The following is a 21,005-nucleotide window of genomic DNA, read 5'->3' on the forward strand; positions in this document are numbered from 1 at the left end:
GTTCAGAATTTTTACATCTATATTCATGAGATACTGGTCTGTAGTTTTCTTGAAATATCTTTAGTTTTGGTATTAGGATAATGCTGGTCTCATAGAATGAGTTAGAAACCACTTCCTCCGCTTCTATTTTCTTTTCTTCTTCTTCTTTTTTTAGATGGAGTCTCACTCTGTCACCCAGGCTATAGTGTAGAGTGGCACAATCTTGGCTCACTGCAGCCTCTGCCTCCCAGGTTCAAGCAATTCTCCTGCCTCAGCCTCCCAAGTAGCTGGGATTACAGGAGTGTGCCATGACACCCAGCTAATTTTTGTAATTTTTAGTAGAGACGGGGTTTCACCATGTTAGCCAGGCTGGTCTTAAACTCCTGACCTGAAGTGATCCACGCACCTCAGCCTCCAAAAGTGCTGAGATTACAGGTGTGGGCCACCATGCCTGGCCTCTTTACTTCTATTTTCTGAAAGAGATTATAGAAAATTAGTATGATTTCTTTCTTAAATATTTAGAAGAATTCACTGGTGAATTTATCTGGGCCTGGTGTTTTTTGTTTTCGAAGGTTATAATTGTTCAATTTCTTTAATAAATATAGACTTATTCAGAATGTATATTTCTTCTGCATGAGTTTTGGCGAACGTGTCTTTAAGGAATTAGTCTATTTTACTTAAATTATAAGATTTGTAGACATAGAGAGTTTCATATTTCTTTATGATTCTTATAGTGCTCCCAGCATTTGTAGTGATGTCCCCTCTCTTATTTCTGATGTTATTAAGTTGTGTGTGTGTCTCTCTTTTTTTCTTGGTTAGCCTGGCTAGAGGCTTATTGATTTTATCAAAGAAACTGCATCTGGTTTCATTTATTTTCTCTATTGATTTTCTGTTTTTATTTTTATTGATTTCTTTTTTGGACTGTGGGGAGGTGAACAGAGTGTTGCTGTATCACCCAGCCCAGAGTGTGGTGGTGCAATCTTGGCTCACTGCAAACTCTGCCTCCTGGGTTCAAGTGATTCTCGTGCCTCAGCCTCCTGAGTAGCTGGGATTACAGGCGGGTGCCACCATGGCCTGCTAATTTTTGTGTTTTTAGTAGAGACGGAGTTTCACCACGTTGCCCAGGCTGGTCTCGAACTGCTGACCTCAGGTGATCCACCTGCCTCGACCTCCCAAAGTGCTGGAATTGCAGGCATGAGCCACCGCATCTGGCTGATTTTTATTGATTTCTGGTCTAATTTTTATTATTTCTTTTCTTTTGCTTGCTTGGGATTTAATTTGCCCTTTTTTTTTCTAGTTTCTTAAAGTGGAAGCTTAGATGACTGATTTTAGATATTTTTTCCTATCCAATATATGCATTCAATGCCCTAAATTTCCCTCTAAGTACTATTTTCACTGCATCCACAAATTTTGATAAGTTGTGGTTTTATTTTAATTTACTTCAAAATATTTTAAAATTTTTCTTGAGATTTCTTCTTTGACCAATGTGTTATTTAGAGTATGGTTTAATTTCCAAGTATTTTGGGATTTTCTAGCTATCTTTCTGTTACTGGTTTCTAGTTTAATTCCACTGTGACCTGAAATAATATATTGGATGATTTATAATATTTAAAATTTGGGCTGGGCACGGTGGCTCATGCCTGTAATCTCAGCACTTTGGAAGGCCGAGGTGGGTGGATCACCAGAGGTCAGGAGTTGGAGACCAGCCTGACCGACATGATGAAACCCCATCTCTACTAAAAATACTAAAATTAGCTTGTCATGGTGGCAGGCATCTGTAATCCCAGGTACTCTGGAGGCTGAGGCAGGAGAATCGCTTGAACCCAGGAGGCAGAGGTTGCAGTCAGCTGAGATTGTGCCATTACATTCCAGTCTGGGTGACAAGAACAAAACTCTCTTCAAAAACATTAATTAATTAATTAAAATAAAATTTGTTAAGGCTGGGTGCGGTGGCTCAGGCGTGTCATCCCAGCACTATGGGAGGCCAAGGCAGGCAGATTATTTCAGCCCAGGAGTTCAAGACTAGCCTGGGCAACATAGCAAGACCTTGTCTCTATTTTTAAATAATAAAAAAAGTTTAAAAAAATAAAAAACTAATAACATTTTTTAAGGTGTGTTTTAGGACCCAGAATGTTATCTATCTTGTTCCATTTGAGTCTGAGAAGAATGTGTATTCTGCTGTTGTTGGGTAAAGCAGTCTAGAAATGTCAATTATACCCCATTGATGGTGCTGTTGAGTTCTGTTAGAGAGATACTGTAGTCTCCAAGTATAACAGTGGATTCATCTGTTTCTCATTGTATTCCTATCAGTTTTTGCCCCACATATTTTACAACTTTGTTGTTAGGCACATATACACTATGGATTGTTATGTCTTCTTGAAAATTGAGCCCTTTATCCATTATATAATGCCATGCTTTATCCCTGATCATTTTCCTTACTCTGATGTCTGCTCTGTTAGAAATAAATATAGCTGCTCCCACTCCCTTTTGATTAGTGTTAGCATGGAATATCTTTCTCCATCCCTTTACTTTTAATCTATATATGTCTTTACATTTAATGTGGGTTTCTACATAGACAACATATAGTTGAGTCTTGTTTTTTAATCCACTCTGACAATCTCTGTATTTTAATTGGTATATTTAGACCATTGATATTAAAGTGATTATTGATATAAATGGATGAATATTTACAATATTTGTCACTCTTTTCTATTCATTGTCTTTATTCCTTGTTCCTGTTTTTGACTTCCACTTTTTCCCTGCCATTTTGGGGGTTTTTTTTGTTTGTTTTTGAAATTTTTTATTATTATTTTTTGAGACAGGGTCACACTCTGTTGCCCAGGCTGGAGTGCAGTGGCATGATCATGGCTCACTGCAGCCTTAACCTCCTGAGCTCAAGTGATCCTCCTGCCTCAGCCTTCCACATAGCTGAAACTACACATGTATGCCACCATGCCTGGCTAATTTTTGTATTTTTTGTAGAGATAGTATCTCACTATGTTGCCCAGGCTGGTCTTGAAATCCTGGGCTCAAGCCATCCACCTGCCTCAGCCTCCCAAAGTGCTGGGATTATAAGTGTGACCCAATGCACTCAGCCCATTTGTGATTTTACTTGAGCATTTTATATGATTTCATTTTCTCTCCTTTTTTAACACATCAATTATACTTTTTTTTTTTTTTTTTTTTTTTTAACAGAGTCTTGCTCTGTGGCCCAGGCTGGAGTGCAGTGGCATGATCTTGGCTCACTGCAACCTCCACCTCCCGGGTTAAAGCGATTCTCCTACCTCAGCTTCCTGAGTAGCTGGGACTACAGGCATATGCCTCCACACCCAGCTAATTTTTGTATTTTTAGTAGAGACAAGGTTTCACCATGTTGGCCAGGCTGTTCTCAAACTCCTGGCCTCCAGTGATCTGCCCGCTTTGACCTCCCAAAGTGCTGGGATTACAGGCATGAGCCACCATGCCTGGCCAATTATGCTTCTTTTAAAAAATAATTTTTTGGTTGCTATACAGTTTGCAATATACATTTACAACTAACTGAAGTCCACTTTCAATTAACACTATACTGCTTTATAGGTAGTGCAAGTACTTTATAATAACAAAATATTTTTAAGTCTTCCCTCCTGTCTCTGGTATTATTGTGTAGTGCATTTCACTTAATGAATGCTTATATTTTCTTAGTGAGCAGAAGCATACATAAGCATAAGTGTATGTATATACACCCAATCAAATACATTTTGCCATTATTATTTGAAACAAAATGTTATGTTAGACCAATTAAAAATTTTTTAAGTTTTTATTTACCTTAACTTATTCTTCTCTGATACTCTATCTTTCCCTATGTAGATCCACATTTCTGACCTACATTATTTTTCTTCTATGTGAAGAATTTCCTTAATATTTCTTACAAGGCAGATCTACTAGCAACAAATTTCCTTAGTGTTTGTTGGTCTCAGAAAGTCTTTATTTCTACTTCACTTTTGAAGAAGAATTTCACAGGATACACAATTCTAGTTGGGAGTTTTTTTCTCTCACCACTTTAAATATTTCACTTCACTCTCTTTGTAGTGATTTCTTACAATTTTATGTTGCCTCAGCATCCATTTTGAACACAGGTTTAATTTTCTCATATTGGAAACAGGGCTTAGTCACCCTTGACACAGCTTCTGGTTCTCTACTTCATCCCAGTTCCTCAGTGGGGTTGATCCAGATATCTGCTTTATACGACTGCTTCCTGGTGACCACCTCCCTATCAGACAGCTAGATACAACCTACTTGACTCACCTTGCTGAACCCCCTACTGCACTGATTGTGCAGATATGCCACAGTGACCACTTCTCAGTCACAGCATGATTTCATGTACTTGTATCTACTTCCTCTAAACCCACTAATTAGAACTTCCCAAGGGAAACCTGCCTGGATAATGCCCTAGACCCCAATAAAGTCTTCAGCCCATGGGTTCCTCATTCTCTCTCTTGCTCCTTGCCTGCTGATTGAGTGTACACGTCCCAAATAGCTCCCTACTTCCTGTTGGCCCCATGGGGCATGCTGCTGTCTTCTCTCTGGGATCTGAAAGTAATATACTGCTTGTGTTATTTCATGTTTTGTTTGAATTACTTTCTTTGTGTCTCAGCTGAATGACACATCTAAACCTAACTTCTTTCCTGGCCAGGGCTTTTCTGAAGAATGGCTATCTTGGTAGAAATAAACTGGACACAGGTCAGACAAGAGCCATAAGGATATCTGTCACTATAAACAAGTTTCCTGTGAGTGGGACACCTGGTCACAGGTCAGACACTTAGACATCCAGCTGTTTGTCAGGCTAAAGAAGTATCTCATGAAAGAAACATTGTAAATATTCACAACCAAATCTCCTGGAGCCATGTGAGAGAGGACAGGAGTTTACTGCCATTCTCCAGAAAGAGACCTTAAGATGAAATTACAGAAAAATAGAACACTCTTCTTGCTTGTGTGGTTTCTGAAGAGAAGTTGGTTGTAAATTTTATGTTTCTCCTCTATAGGTAAAGTGTTTTTTCCTGTGGCTTCTTTCAAGATATTTCTTTGTCTTTGATTTTTGGCAGTTTGCATATGATATGCCTAGGGTTTTTTTTGTTTTGTTTTGTTTTTTTTTTTTTTGTTTTTTTTTTTTTTTTGGCATTTATCCTGCTGGATGTACTCTGAGCTTCCAGCATATGTAGTTTGATGTCTGACATTAATTTGTGGAAAGTCTCAGTCTTTATTGCTTAAAATATTTTTTCTATACTTTTCTGTCTTTCTTCTCCTTCTGGAATTCCCATAACATGTATGCTACACCTTTTGTACTTGTCTCACAGTTCTTGGATATTCTGGGTTTTTTTGTCCAGTCTTTTTTGTTTCTCTTTGCTTTTCAGTTTTGGAAGGTTCTATTGACACATTCTCAAGATCAGTGATTTTTTCCTCAGCCATGTGCAATCTACTAATAAGCCCATCAAAGGCATTCTTCAGTTCTGTTACAATGTTTTTGATTTCTAATATTTGTCTTTGATTCTTACTTAGAATTTCCATCTTTCTGCTTATATTGACCATCTGTTCTTGAATTCTGCCTACTTTCTCAATTAGAGCCTTTACTATGTTAATCATAGTTGTTTTAAATTCACAATCTGGTAATATCAACATCACTGCCATATCTAGTCTGATTCTGATGCATCCTCAGTCTCTTCAAATTCTGTTTTGCCTTTTAGTGTGCCTTGTCATTTTTTGCTGAATGACACCTTTCAACAAAACAACAAAAAGTACACCTTTAGCGATGTGCTGGTAAGATTTGAGGGGAGGAGAAGCATTCTATGGTCCTATCGTTACCAGAAAGCAGTCCCAGTCCAGACCCCAAGAGAGGGTTCTTAGATGTCATGCAAGAAATAATTCAGGGTGGTCCACAGAGTAAAGTAAAAAGCAAGTTTATAGAGAAGTAATGAAACAAAAGAATGGCTATTCCATAGGCAGAGCAACCAGGGGGCTGCTGGTTGACTATTTTTATGGTTATTTCTTGATTAGATGATAAACAAGGGGTAGATTATTCATGAGTTTTCCAGAAAAAGGATGAAGAGTTTCAGAAACTGAGGGTCCCTCGCCTTTTTAGAACATGTAGGGTGATTTCCAGAAGTTGCCATGGCATTTGTAAACTGTCATGGTGCTAGTGGGAGTGTCTTTTAGCATGCTAATGCATTATAACGAACATATAATGAGAAGTGAGGACAACCAGAGGTCACTTTCATCTCCATCTTGGTTTCGGTGAGTTTTGGCTGGCTTCTTTACCACATCCTGTTTCATCAGTAGGGTCTTTACAACCTCTGACGTGTGATACCAGTCCTGTTCACCTCCAGTCTTATCCTGTGAATAAGAATGCCTAACCTCCTGGGATGGCAGCCAAGCAGGTCTGGGCTTTATTTTACGTAGCTCCTATTCAAGATGGAGTTGCTCTCCTTTAAATGCCTCTGGCACTATAATTAGGTCTTAGGCATTTAGTAAGCCTTTATGTGCCCTTTAGCTGTGAACTTTTTTTTTTCCTTGAGACAGAGTCTCATTCTGTTGCCCAGGCTGGAGTGCAGTGACACGATCATGTCTTACTGTACCTTGATTTCCTAGGCTCAGGTGATACTTCCACCTCAGCCTCCTGTGTAGCTGGGGCTACAGGCACGCACCACATACCTGGCTAATTTTTGTATTTCTTGTGGAGACAGAGTTTCACCATGTTGCTCAGGCTGGTCTTGAATTCCTGGGCTCAAGCAATCCACTTGTCTCAGTCTTGGTAAGTATTGGGATTACAGGCATGAGTCACCACACCTGACCTTGACGGTGAACTTCACATACTGTCTCTGCCCCTTGGATTTTTCCCCCCACCTTAGGTGGGACAGGATGGCTAGTGGAAGCTGGAATTAAGTCTCACATATTTGTCAGAGTCCTATGCATACATATGTAATTAAGATGATTTTTCTCTTGTTAATTTATCATCTGTCAATTTAATTCATGGCCTAGCCAAAGAACCTAGAAGGGTAGAGGGAAGCCATTTCCCCTCCCATGAAAAGCAAGAGTAGAGCAGTGTGTACAGTTTTCTATTTACATAACCAGATATAAAATGGGATTCTATCTTTGTTTTAACAAAGCATCAATAAAATAATTATTCAATGCCAAAGCACATGTGAAACAGATCTTCCACATGTAGAATTCACAAAGAAAGTTATTGACAACTAATTACACAATGCTTGGGCCCCCTCTATCCCCAGAAAACACAAGAAAAACCCAAAACCCTGAGACTTCCTGTTTGTCTTTCCATTGTGATTTTGTATGGTGTGCCCACAAATCATTATTCAATGTTTTTTTGTTCCACTGCCAAGATTGCTCTCATGCTTCCTGGTAATCACAGGGGCTGAAGCAGCAGCCAACTATTATTGATATGGACAGGAGGCAGGGAAATACTGAATAGAAGAGGGCAGTTCCCTGGCAAAGGCCCTACCCACAAGCCTGGGCCCACAGCCCTAAATGAGAACTTCACATCCCTGTTTTCCCACTCCAATGTTGCTTTTTCCAAAACTGCCCTGGCCCATCATACCCCCCATCCCATACCCATAAAAACCTCAAATTCCACTTACAGACAAGCAGAGTGTCATGGCAGAGAAGGAAAGAAGAGAAGAAGCATCTGACTGTCGAGATGAGTTTGGCCAGGGACGGCTGAACTCCAGGGGGAAGATTATCTTCCCACTCCATCCCCTTTCCAGCTGCCCATCCCACTAAGAGCCACCTCCTTCACTCAGTAAAACCTCTGCATTCACCATCCTTCAAGTCCATGTGACCTGATTCTTCCTGGATGCCAGACAAGGACCAGGATACCAAGAGGGCAGAGAGTAAAATGCTGTCGTGCTGACTCTCCTCTGAGCCAGTTAACACTTAGCCATCCATGAATGGCAACTGCTAAAAGAGCATTAATTGTAACACACCCCTAGATGCTGCCATAGGGCCAGAGCCCAGAAGTGCTTGCCCCAGCCTTGGCACCTGCTTGCCTGCACGCTCCCCCTCCTGCAAGGGGTTTGAGTGGGGGGCTGAGTAAGCGAACCACACCCCTGTTGCAAGTCCCACGAAGGGATCCAGGGAACTCTCCAGTCTCACTACGTATTTAACTAACACTATGGCATAAATTCTTCTTTTAATTTTAAGTTTTGAATAAGATGAAAAAGCTTTTTTGTGATACTTAGGAATTAAGAAGATATGATCTGGCTGGGTGCAGTGGCTCACGCCTGTCATCCCAGCGCTTTGAGAGGCTGAGGCGGGTGGATCACTTGAAGTCAGGAGTTCAAGACCAGCCTGGCCATCATGGTGAAACCCTGTCTCTACTAAAAATACAAAAAATTAGCTGGGTGTGGTGGTGGGCACCTGTAATCTCAGCTACTTGGGAGGCTAAGGCAGGAGAATCATTTGAACCTGGGAGATGGAGGTTGCAGTGAGCCAAGATTGTGCCACACTCCAGCCTGGGTGACAGAGCCAGACTCTGTCTCAGAAAAAAAGAAGATATGATAAAAAATGTGTCACTTATCTGCCTTAAATCTAAACAATGAGTTAAGAAATGTTTTCTTTGAAATAGTTTATAGTTATTTATGAAGCTCATGAAATTATTTGCTTTAATAACTATGGGTGAAATAAATGTAATCCTACCTCAGTGCCTTCTTCAAAATTATAATTCAGAGGTTATGGACATAAAAATGCCATCTCCGCAGTAAATGAAGTTGACAAATATTCAACAAAATGTGCCCTAGTCTTTTTTTACCCACCTGAGTATGTATCACAATGTAGTGTTGGAAGGAAAATTTTCCTCTACCCACTAGTTTCAATTGCTTGGGGGCCTGAAGATTAACTGACAATAGATGGATGAACAGAACAAGAATTATTTATACATGCACTCATTACTCAGTAAGGAGTAACTGGATAAGAAGCCAGAGGTAAATGTTTTTACGTCAACTGAACAAAACAGGGAGGAGTTAAAACTTCAAAGGGGAAGAATGAAAGGTACTGTTGGCTTTTCTGATGTTAATAGCTAGCTGAATTCACACTTCAGTATTCTCCCAACAGGAAACTCCTTTGGTGGGTGGGGGAGCCAAAGGCATCTGTATTTTCAGGAGGCCCTGCTTAAGTTTGGATAATGTTTATTTCTGTAGCTGCTGGTTGTACAGGCATTTTCAGTTTAAAATAATTTTCATATCACTTTTGTAGGCCATTAATTTCTTCAGTAATTTCTCAGCAACTCATAGCACCCCAGTAAGATCATGGCAAAGCTCACACATCACCCACCTGTATGATTGTAGAGGGGCCAAGGGAAAGCGTCCGTCATCCTGTTAAGGGTTTGTTGAAAATTGTTGATGAAAAGAGTGAAACTTTGTAAAATATTTAAGAGATTTATTCTGAGCCAAATAGAAGTGACCATAGCCCATGACACAGCCCTCAGAAGACCCTGAGAACATGTGCCCAAGGTGGTCGGGGTACAGCCTAGTTTTATACATTTTAGGGAGACATGAGACATCAATCAAATACACGTAAGGTATACATTGGTTCAGTCCAGAAAGGTGGGACAACTCCAAGTGGGCAGAGAGGGGAGGAGGGGTTCCAGGTTATAGGTACATTTAAAATATTTTAGATTGGCAATTGGTTGAAAGAACTACTATCAATAGAAAGGAATATTTGGGTTACAATAAGAGGTTGTGGAAACCAAAGTTTTATCATGCTGAGAAAGCCTCCAGGTAACAGACTTTGGAGAAAACAGATTGTAAGTGTTTCTTACTAGACTTAAAGTCTGTGTTGATTGTACATGCTGGTCAACTTTTTCTGAATTCCAAAAGGGAGGAGGGTATAATGAGGCATGTCCCACCCTCTCTTCCCATCATGGCTTGCACCAGGTTTTCAGGTTAATGTTGGAGTGCCCTGGCTGAGAGGAGGGGGTCTATTCAGACGGTTGGTTGGTGGGCCTTAGAATTTTATTTGTGGTTTACAAAATGAACTGACAAAAGGCAGATTAAAAAGCAGAAAAAGGCATACAAAATTTATTTAACATGCATAAACATGAGGGAATTGCAGGGGTAGGATTACCCAATAACCCAAATGAGGTCCAGTTGCTTACATACTCTTGTTCACAGGGGAAGGGGAGTTGAGGGTGTAACAATTTTGAGGGGCAGCAAATGATTTTTAGGGGAAATGAATGAACCTGGGAGACAGGAATTAATCTGTAAGTTATTCTCTTTAGAATTTGAATGAGCCTGAAAGGCAGACATTGTTTTGTGAAAAAATTCATCCAGGTGTGGTTACATTACTCAGTCTTCTTTTCTGTGATAGGTAATGAGATTTCGGAGAGGGGATGGAAGGCAATTGTGTTTTCTTTGTGGGTCCAGTCTTAAAGGTGATAAAGGAATATCAGAGAAGAGCCTCATCCTGTGCCTTGGGAGAGACAAAATGTTAGTGGAGGCTGGAGGGGGGTGTCAGAGAGACCTCGAGGCTGCTTCTTTTAGTTCAGTATACCAAAACACCATATTTTGGGGTATCACTTTTCTGAGTCCCAACATTGCCTCCTCTATGGCTGCATAATCTGTATAACATCAACAGTCATTCTTTCTTTCGATTCTCAGTGCTTAATCCCTTATAGCCCCCATCCCAATCATCACCATCTTATTTACATGATTATTGGCTGTCACAATCCCCCTCCAGAATATACACTCCATGACAACAGACTTTGTCCATCTTCATTACTGTGTCACCAGAGCTAATACCATGTCTGGCACAGGGTTGTTACTAAATACATATTGGTTGGTAAAATAAATGGAAAATAAATAGTTTAAAGTGTAAGCTGGGCGTAGTGGGTCATGTTTGTAATTCCAGCACTTTGGGAGGCCAAGGCGGGAGAATCGCTTGACCCCAGGGGTTCAAGACCACCTGAGCACCATGGCGAGACCCCCGTCTCTACGAAAATTAGCCAGGCATGGGGTGTGGCTGTAGTCCCAACTACTCAGGAGGTTGAGGTGAGAGGATCCCTTGAGCCCAAGATGTCTAGGCTGCAGTGAGCCAATATCATGCGACTACACTCCAGCCTGGGGGACAAATTGAGACCCTGTGTCAAAAAAATAAAAAAGAAAGAGAAAGGGAAAGAAAAAATGTAAAGCAATGTTTCCATCTGGAGCAGTGGTGGAGATCATACTGCTACATTGTGACTTAACAGAATTGAATCCTGACATAAAATGTACTGTCTAAAAATAACATTTACTAAATAAGTTGAGCAGCCACCACACAGTTGCTACTCTCTAACACCAGCACCTCTATCTTGCTGAGCTCCAGCCAAAGAAGGAAGGTAAGTCAGGAGGTGTCTCCTACTTACCATGGCTCCTACAAAGCTGGCACCCGGAAAACATCTGGCTACAAATGCCTTTCCCAAGAGTGCACCCTCTACTGGAGAAATGAAGAAACCTTAGCATTACAGGCTTGATACTGTGGCACTCCATGAAATTAGATGTTATCAAAAGTCCACCAAATTTCTGATTTGCAAACTTTCATTCCAGTACCTGATATTAGAAATTGCTTAGGACTTCAAAACAGATTTGTGTTGCCAGAGCACAGCTATTGGAAGCAAGTGAGGTCTATTGTAGGAAGCAAGTGTGGTCTATCATGTGGGACTTCCACCCTGGGTGCTCTCTGTATCAAATGTGTAACAGTGTTTTTTGTTTGTTTTTATATTTCATTTCTATTTATATTTTTAGAGACAAGGCTTTGCTCTGTCACCCAAGCTGGAGTGCAGTGGCGTGATCATAGCTCACTGCAGCCTTGAACTCCTGGGCCAAGTAATCCTCCTCCCTTAGCCTCCCGAGAAGCCGGGATTACAGACACACACTACCAGGCCTGGCTAATTAAAATAAATTATTTAGAGAGAGGGGTCTTGCTATGTTGCCCAGTCTGGCCTTGAACTCCTGGGCTCAAGCAATTCTCCAGGCTCAGCCTCCCATTTAGCTGGGATTGCAGGCACAAGCCACCACACCCAGCCCAAAGTATAACAGTTATGACTAAAGACATCCAGCTAGCATGCTACATAGATTGAGAATATGTTTAAGAATCTACTATGGCTGAGTGTGGTGGCTCACACCTGTAATCCCAGCACTTTGGGAGGCGGAGCCAGGAGGATCAATTGAGCTCAGGAGTTTAAGATCAGCCTGAGCAACATAGCAAGACCTCTTCTCTACTAAAAATAATTTTAAAAAAATAGCCAGGCTTGGTGGCATGCAGCTGTGGTCCCAGGTACTTGGGAGGCTGAGGCAGGAGGATGGCTTGAGGCCAGAAGTTCAAGATTGCAGTGAGCTAAAATCACACCACTGCACTCCAGCCTGGGTGACAGAACAAGACCCTATCTCAAAAGGAAAAAAAAAAAAAAAAAGAATCCACTATGAAAGGAAACATTTCATTCTCAAAACAAACAAATGAAAAATCCTCTCATCTTCCTGTTAGTGGTGGTTCTGAATGTTTGATATTTTTTCCTCATGGGGTCAAAAAGTACCTAAGTATATAAATGCAAGTGGAAAAATAGGGGATAGAAATCAGATATTGACAGTTTTACCATTTTCACTTGTGTGCGAATTGTTAATATGAATGTGGAAATATAAAGCACTGAGGCAAATCAAAATGTTTTATTAAACAAGTGTCAGCAATTCACCTTTATAACAATTATAAATAAACTTGTTAGATTTTCCTGGACAATGCCAGCATTTGGATTTTTACAAATAAGTAAATGTTGGCTGGGCACAGTGGCTCACACCTGTAATCCTAGCATTTTCGGAGGCCAAGTCGGGCAGATCACACGAGGTCAGGAGTTTAAGACCAGCCTGGCCAACATTGTAAAACCCCATCTCTATTTAAAAAAAATACAAAAATTAGCTGACCATGGTGGTGTGTGCCTGTAGTCCCAGCTACTAGGGAGGCTGAGGCACGATAATTGCTTGAACCCAGGAGGGAGGCTGAGTGAGCCGAGATGGAGCCATTGCCCTCCAGCCTGGATGAGAGAGCAAGGCCCTGTCTCAAAAAAAAAAAAAAAAAAAAAACCACAACAAAAAACAACCCACACAATTTAATGTCTTATTGATGGCAACTCAATTTGTTTGTAGGTTGTTTTTTTTTTTTTTTTTTTTTTTGGAAATGGTCTCACTTTGTCATCCAGGGTGAAGTGCAATGGCTCAATCACAGCTGTCTGCAGCCTCCACCTCCTGGGCTCAAACAATTCTCCTTCCTCAGCCTCCCAAGTAGCTGGGACTACACATGCAAGCCACCACACCCGACTAATTTTTGTGTTTTTTGTAGAGCCAGGGTTTTACCGTTATGTTAGTTCATTCTTAGGCTGCTATGAAGAAATATCCAGGACTGGGTAATTTATAAAGAAAAGAGGTTTAATTGACCCACAGTTCTGCATGGCTGGGGAGGCCTCAGGAAACTTACAATCATGGTGGATGACACCTCTTCACAGGGCAGCAGGAGAGAGAATGAGTGCAAGAAGGGGAAACAGCAGAAGCTTATAAAACCATCAGATTTCATGAGAACTCACTCACTGTCATGAGAACAGCATGGGAGAAACCACCCCCATGATTCAATTATTAATACCTCCCACCGGGTCCCTCTCACGACACATGGAGATTATGGGAATTAAAATTCAAGATGAAATATGAGTGGGAACACAGCCACACCATATCAGCCATGTTGCCCAAGATGGTCTCGAACTCCTGAGCTCAAGAGATCCACCCGCCTCGGCCTCCCAAAGTGCCAGGATTACAGGTGTGAACCACGGCACTCAGCAGTAGCATCTTAATCTACGGTATATTTCATCCATTCACTATGCAGATAGATAGTTCTTGATTTATGTTAATTTTATTTATAATTTTTTGGCTTTATTATGGTGGAACAATGATATGCATTCAGTAGAAACCATACTTTGAGTACCTATACAACCATTCTGGTGTTTTTTGTTTTCATTTTGTTTTGGTTTTTTTGAGACAGGGTTTTGCTCTATCACCCAAGCTTGAGTGCAGTGGTGTGATTATGGCTCACTGCACTCACTGCAGCCTTGACCTCCTAGGCTCAAGTGATCCTCCCACCTCAGCCTCCAGAGTAGCTGGAACTACAGGTGCATGCCACCATGCCCAGCTAATTTTTGTATTTTTTGTAGAGACTAGGTTTCTCCATGTTGCCCAGGCTGGTCTCAAACTCCTGGGCTCAAGCAGTCTGCCTGCCTCAGCCTCCCAGATTGCTGGGATCATAGGCATGAGTCACTATGCCTGGCCTAACCATTATTTTTTTCACTTTTAGTACAATATTCAATAAATTACATGAGATATTCAACACTATTATAAAATAACCTTTGTGTTCAATGATTTTGCCCAATGGTAGACTAATGTAATAAGTATTCTGAGCACATTTAAGTTAACCTAGGCTAAACTATGATCCTCAGCAGGTTAGGCATATTAAATGTATTTTTGACTTAAGGTATTTTCAATTTATGATGGATTTAGCAGGACATAACCCCATTGTAAACTGAGAAATATCTATACTTTTCTAACTTAGTCGTCCATGATCACCACCACCATTGCCATCACCCTTGCCATTAGGCATCATGTTTTCCTCCTTGGAGGTTGCCGTGGTTTAAATGTGTCCCCCAAAGTTCATGTGTTGGAAACTTAATCCCTAATGATGCAATGCTGTTGGGAAGTGGGGCCTAATTGGAGGTGTTTTGGTCATGAGAATTCCAACGTCATGAATGAATTAATGCCAATTATAAAAAGGCTGACACTGTGAGCTCATTCTCCTGCTCTCTTGCACCCTCCCTTTGCCTTTCCCCCATGGGATGATGCAGCAAAAAGGCCCTTGCAAGATGCTGGCCCCATGACCTTGAACTTCCTAGTCTTCAAAACTGTAAGCCAATAAATTTCTGTTTATTATAAATTATCCAGTCTCATGGATTCTGTTATAACAGCACAAAACAGACTAAAACAGAGGTCAGTCATCACAGTTACCAGTTTTGGCAAGCTTTTAATGAACAAAAGAATCACTTAATTTGTACTGCAAAATGGCATGTTTCCTGCAGATCTGCAATGAGAAAGGAACAGATGATGTTACGCTTTTTTTCTCAAGCTTCCATGAGATGGGGATTCAACAACTCTTCTAGGAATAATATAAGCTATGACATAGTTTGATGAAATCCATAGAAGTGAATTGATTTAATGCCATCATTAAAATTTCCACTGTAGAATGGCAAGGAATTTATTGAGATAGTATCCTTTTTGTTGTTGGTGTTTCTAAATACAATCTGAAATAATTTGTTAGATCAAAGGCTTGCTTTTCCTTGAACCTGACAGAGTTGGTTCACAGTAAAATTTACCACATCAGAACTATTTGTTGACATATTACTTTCTACCTTGCATTCAGCACTAGATGCTAGAGATTACAAAGAATGGTTTGCCTTGGAATCAAAGGTGTAGCAATTGACTGTGTAAACATTTTCTGAACTGTGATGTTGCTAAGAAGCCAGCAGGAGTGGGGGAAGAATTGAAGAGTGAAATGAATATCCATCCTTATAGACAGGCAAAAATCAGACTGTAATATTTTGTTTAATCTTATAAAAAGTATCTAGTATTTCAACACTTTAAAAGTCCTTGCATTTTTCAAAAGCTAGGCAGAACCTGGAATCAAGGCCTGGGTCCTGGGGAAGCAGTCTGTGCAGCAGGAGCCTGCCTCGGGTGCACATTTGAACTAGGGGAAAAAAAGTTGTTTCTACCTGTAGTGCCTCTCCAGCTTCCACTACTGACACAGCTTAACATTGTGCCAACAGGCAAAGGAACAATATTTAAAAGACCTAGGTCCATTTTCACAGAGTAGGTAATGAATGAATTTGGAACTGAGAGGCAATAAATGGATAATAGCACAGCAATTAATGTGGACTGGTGTCGGACTTCAGGTAAGGCTGGATCTTGGAGTAGCCCAAAAAGTTTGTAATAAATAAACTCTTTTTTCATCTCAAAAAAAGAAAAAAACTAGATAGACAAGACCTGGGCCTTAAAGTCTTTCTGTTTCACAGAGCACGCTGAGTAATATAAAACTGGATGATAGATAACTAAATCTCTTTTTGTGCCCTATTCAAAATGGAAAGGTCAAAAGTGGCATATTGGTGTTAAGACAAAGGTGATTCATTCACCACACCTCAGAAAAGAGTAAAAATGAAATTAGCCATCTTGTAACTAAAATCAACACAAATGTACTTGGTCTAGAACTTTCAATAAAAAAGGACATCGAGGCTGGGAGTGGTGGCTCACGCCTGTAATCCCAGCACTTTGGGAGGCCAAGGCAGGTGGATCATGATGTCAGGAGATTGAGACCATCCTGGCTAACACAGTGAAACCCCGTTTCTACTAAAAATACAAAAAATTAGCCAGGCGTGGTATCACGCGCCTGTAGTCCCAGCTACTTGGGAGACTGAGGCAGGAGAATGGCGTGAACCCAGGAGGTGGAGCTTGCAGTGAGCCGAGATCGTGCCACTGCACTCCAGCCTGGATGACAGAACGAAACTCCGTCTAAAAAAAAAAAAAAAAAAAAAAAGACATTGAACCATCACAAAAAGTTCACATGAAAAACGTCACCCAAAGCTAGTAAGGAATAGTATTTTAATTTATTTTTTCAGACAGAGTTTCACTCTTGTTGCCCAGGCTGGAGTGCAATGGCACGATCTTGGCTCACTGCAACCTCCGCCTCTCAGGTTCAAGTGATTCTCCTGCCTCAGCCTCCTGAGTAGCTGGGATTAAAGGTGACCGCCAACACGCCCGTCTAATTTTTGTACTTTTAGTAGAGACAGGATTTCACCATGTTGTCTAGGCTGGTCTTGAACTCCTGACCTCAGGTGATCCACCCACCTCGGCCTCCCAAAGTGCTGGGATTACAGTCATGAGCCACTGCACCCGGCCTTAATTTAATTTTTAAAATACGTATTATTTACTCAAAATATGGACAACCAAGCTTATGTAACAGCCCAGTGGGTTCATGTTGCCTGCTACCTAGACAAAGCCAATTTATCAAGAGAGGGGAATTGTAACACAGAAAGAGTTTAATTCATGCAGAGCTGGCTGTATAGGAGACCTGAGTTTTATTATCACTGAAATCGGTCTCCCTGAAAAGTTAGAGATGGGGGTTTTTAAGGACAATTTGGTGTGTCAGGGCCGGTGAGTCAAGAGCGCTGATTGGTTGGGTCAGAGATTAAATCATAGAGAGTCGAAGCTGTCCTCTTGTGCTGAGTCAGTTTTTGAGTGGGGGCCACAAGATCAGATGAACCAGTTGATTGATCTGGGTGGTGCCAGCTGATCCATCAAGTGCAGGGCCTGCAAAATATCTCAAGCACTGATCTTAGGTTTTACAACAGTGATATTGCCTACCCAGGAGCAATTTGGGGAGGGTCAGAATCTTGTAGCCTCTAGCTGCATGACTCCTAAACCATAATTTCTAATCTTGTGGCTAATTTGTTAGTCCTACAAATGCAGCCTAGTCCTGAGGCAGGAAGGAGGTTTGTTTTGGGAAAGGGCTGTTATCATCTTTGTTTCAAACTTAAACAATAAACTAAGTTCTCCCCAAAGTTAGTTCGTCCTGCGCTCAGGAATGAACAAGGACAGCTTGGAGGTTAAAAGGAAGATGGAGTTGGTCAGGTCAGATCTCTTTCACTGTAATAATTTTCTCAGTTATAATTTTGCAATGGTGCTTTCCATTCTAGCCCTTTGGGAGGCCAATGTAGGAGGACTGCTTGAGCCCAGCAGTTCAAGACCATCCTGGGCAACATGGCGAAGCCCTGTCTTCGCAAAAAATACAAAAATTAGGCAGGCATGGTGATGCATGCCTGTAGTCCCAGCTACTCAGGAGGCTGAGGTGGGAGGATCACTTGAGCCCAAGAGGTCAAGGCTGCAGGGAGCTGTGATCATGCCACTACACTCCAGATTGGGTGACAGAGAGAGATCGTGTCTCAAAAAAAAAGAAAAGAAAAATTAAATTAGATAATAAATTTAAGAATAGGCTGGGAGTGGTGGTTCACGCCTGTAATCCCGCACTTTGGGAGGCTAAGGCAGGTGGATCACCTGAGGTCAGGAGTTTGAGACCAGCCTGGCCAACATAGCAAAACCCCGTCTCTATTAAAAATACGAAAAATCAGCCAGGCATGGTGGTGGGCACCTGTAATCCCAGCTACTCGGGGGTGGCAGAGGGTAGGGCTGAGGCAAGAGAATCGCTTGAACCTGGGAGGCGGAGGTTGCAGTGAGCTGAGATCATGCCATTGCACTTCAGCCTGGGCAACAAGAGTGAGACTCCATCTAAAAAAACAAAACAAAACAAGAATAAATATTCATTGTTATGGGCTGAGTTGTGTCATCCCCAAATTCATAAGTTAAAGTCCTAACCCCTAGTTCCTCAGAATTGACTGTGTTAGTTAAAATGAGATCATTAGGGTCAGCTCCAATCCAAAATGACTAGTATCCTTATATGACAAAGAAATTTAAACACAGACATGCACAGAGAAAAGATCATCTGAGGACACAGGGAGCAGACAGCCATCTGCACGATAAGGAGAGAGTCCTCAGGAGACACTAATTCTGCCAACACCTTTTTTTTTTTTTTTTGAGATAGGGTCTCACTGTGTTGCCCAGGCTGGAGTGTAGTGGCACAGTCTTGGCTTACTGCAGCCTTGACGTTCTGGGCTCAAGCAATCCTCCTACCTCAGTCACTACAGCTACGCACCCATGCTCAGTTAATTATTGTATTTTTTGTAGAGGCAGCGTTTCACCAAGTTGCCCAGGCTGGTCTCAAACTCCTGGGCTCAAGCGATCTGCCCGCCTCAGCCCCCCAAAGTGCTGGTATTACAGGCGTGAGCCATCATGCTTGGCCAGGGGTAATATACTTCTGACAGGGGTATAAATTGGTATTACCTTCTGAAGAAAAATTTGACAATAAATATTAACCTTAGAAAGTGAATACACTTTGACATATCAGTTATACTTTTGAGAATGAATGATATAGAAATATCGATGTTGTCAAAGATGTTTATTACAGCATAGTTTATACATGTGAAAAATTAAAAATTTCCTGATAATAAAAATTAAAAGGATTAGTTTAGGAAATGTTAGCTCTTGGCATGTAATCCCAGCACTTTAGGAGGCAAAAGTGGGCAGATCACTTGAGGCCAGGAGTTCGAGACCACCCTGGCCAACATGGTGAAACCGCATCTCTACTAAAAGCACAAAAATCAGCGTGGTAGCACACACCTGCAGTCCCAGATAGTTGGGAGGCTGTGGCATGAGAATTGCTTGAACCCGGGAGGTGGAAGTTGCAGTGAGCCAAGATCACGCCACTGTAATCCAGACTGGGCAACAGAGCAAGACTCTATCTCAAAAACAAAACAAACAAACAAACAAAAAACACATGAAAAACATTAAAGGCCAAGGCGGGCAAATCACGAGGTCAGGAGATCGAGACCATCCTGGCTAATACGGTGAAACCCCATCTCTACTAAAAATACAAAAAATTAGCCGCGCGTGGTGGCGGGCGCCTGTAGTCCCAGCTACTCAGGAGGCTGAGGCAGGAGAATGGCGTGAGCCCGGGAGGTGGAGCTTGCAGTGAGCCGAGATCGTGCTACTGCACTCCGGCCTGGGTAAAAGAGCAAGACTCCGTCTCAAAAAAAAAAAAAAAAAAAAAAAACTTAAAAAAAAAAAGAGAGAGAGAAATGGAGAAATGTTGGCTCCTTAAGCTAAAATACAAGTAGTCATTACAATTGCTATTTTGGCAGGTCAATTAGATATGCATAAATTTATTTGTTTAATTTATGAGCTATTTTAAATACATAAAATAAATGAGAATAATATGAATACCTATCACTGATTTTAAAAATGTTAATATTTTGACATATTTGCTTTTTTTGACTTCTGTTTTTAAAAAGAAACAGAACATTATAGATCCAGTTAAATAATCTTTGTGCCCCTCCCCAATGGTATTTTCCTCCCACCACCATCTTCATCCTCTGAATGGTAACCATTGTCAAAATTCCCTTCACTCAACATTGTATTTTCAAGATACCTTTACTTTGAATAACGTAGCTGTTGCGTATTCTATTTTTTTTTTTTTTTTTTGAGACAGAGTTTCGCTCTTGTTGCCCAGGCTGGAGTGCAATGGCATGATCTCAGCTCATCGCAACCTCTGCCTCCTGGGTTCAAGCGATTCTCCTGCCTCAGCCTCCTGAGTAGCTGGGATTACAGGCATGCACCACCACACCCGGCTAATTTTGTATTTTTAGTAGAGACGAGGTTTCTCCGTGTTGGTCAGGCTGGTCTCAAACTCCCGACCTCAGGTGATCTGTCTGCCTTGGCCTCCCAAAGTGTTGGGATTACAGGCATGAGCCACCACGCCAGGCCTCTTTTTTTATTATTATAGCTTTTATTTTAGGCTCAGGGATACATGTGCAGGTTTGTTCTTAATATTTAGATAAACTGCACATCACAGGGGTTTGGTGTACAGATTATTTCATCCCCCAGGTAATATATTGCCCAATATTTCTTCTAATTGTGACATAATGTTCCATTATATGAGTACACTATAATATACATTTCTTCTTTTGATCAGTCACTTTGTTCGGTTTTTTTCTGATTCTATTCCTATAGCATGCACAAGGTTGCCATGAGCATTCTTGTACCTATTTCCTTGGGCACATGTGTGAGATTTTCTCCAAGGTGTATATTTGAGATTTGAATTGCTGAGGCATTGAGTATATGCATCTTTAACTACACTAGATATTGCCTCAATGCTTTGCAAAGTGGTTGTATCAATTTATACTCCCATTGTGTATCAAGTAGTTTTTGCTGTGTAGCAAATCATTCCTTAATACAGTGGCCTAAAAACCAACATTTATTATTTCTCATGATTTTTTGGATTGGCAGCCTGTTCTCCTGGGCTGGTGATCTTGGCCAGGACTG

The 21,005-nt window shown here is 41.1% G+C and overlaps 1 protein-coding gene and 1 pseudogene across 4 annotated transcripts in view, besides 2 other annotated features; both read left to right on the top strand.

Annotated features, from left to right (window-relative positions):
- GCNT1 (glucosaminyl (N-acetyl) transferase 1) overlaps positions 1-21,005 on the top strand; it is a 113,548-nt gene that overhangs the window by 14,684 nt on the left and 77,859 nt on the right. The window lies entirely within an intron of this gene.
- Positions 180-229: an enhancer, noted in NCBI's record as "active region_28472". NCBI's record gives its function as "activates an Ori minimal core promoter by ATAC-STARR-seq in GM12878 lymphoblastoid cells {active_cell/tissue: GM12878}" and the evidence as "EXISTENCE:reporter gene assay evidence [ECO:0000049][PMID:35858748]".
- Positions 8,733-9,314: an enhancer, noted in NCBI's record as "OCT4-NANOG hESC enhancer chr9:79032201-79032782 (GRCh37/hg19 assembly coordinates)". NCBI's record gives its function as "activates a minimal SCP1, AML or CMV promoter by ChIP-STARR-seq in primed H9 embryonic stem cells {active_cell/tissue: H9 hESC(primed)}" and the evidence as "EXISTENCE:reporter gene assay evidence [ECO:0000049][PMID:30033119]".
- Positions 11,382-12,079, top strand: H3P32 (H3 histone pseudogene 32; annotated as a pseudogene).

The sequence above is a fragment of the Homo sapiens genome, chromosome 9 (genome assembly GCF_000001405.40).
Source record: "Homo sapiens chromosome 9, GRCh38.p14 Primary Assembly".
Lineage (NCBI taxonomy): Eukaryota > Metazoa > Chordata > Mammalia > Primates > Hominidae > Homo > Homo sapiens.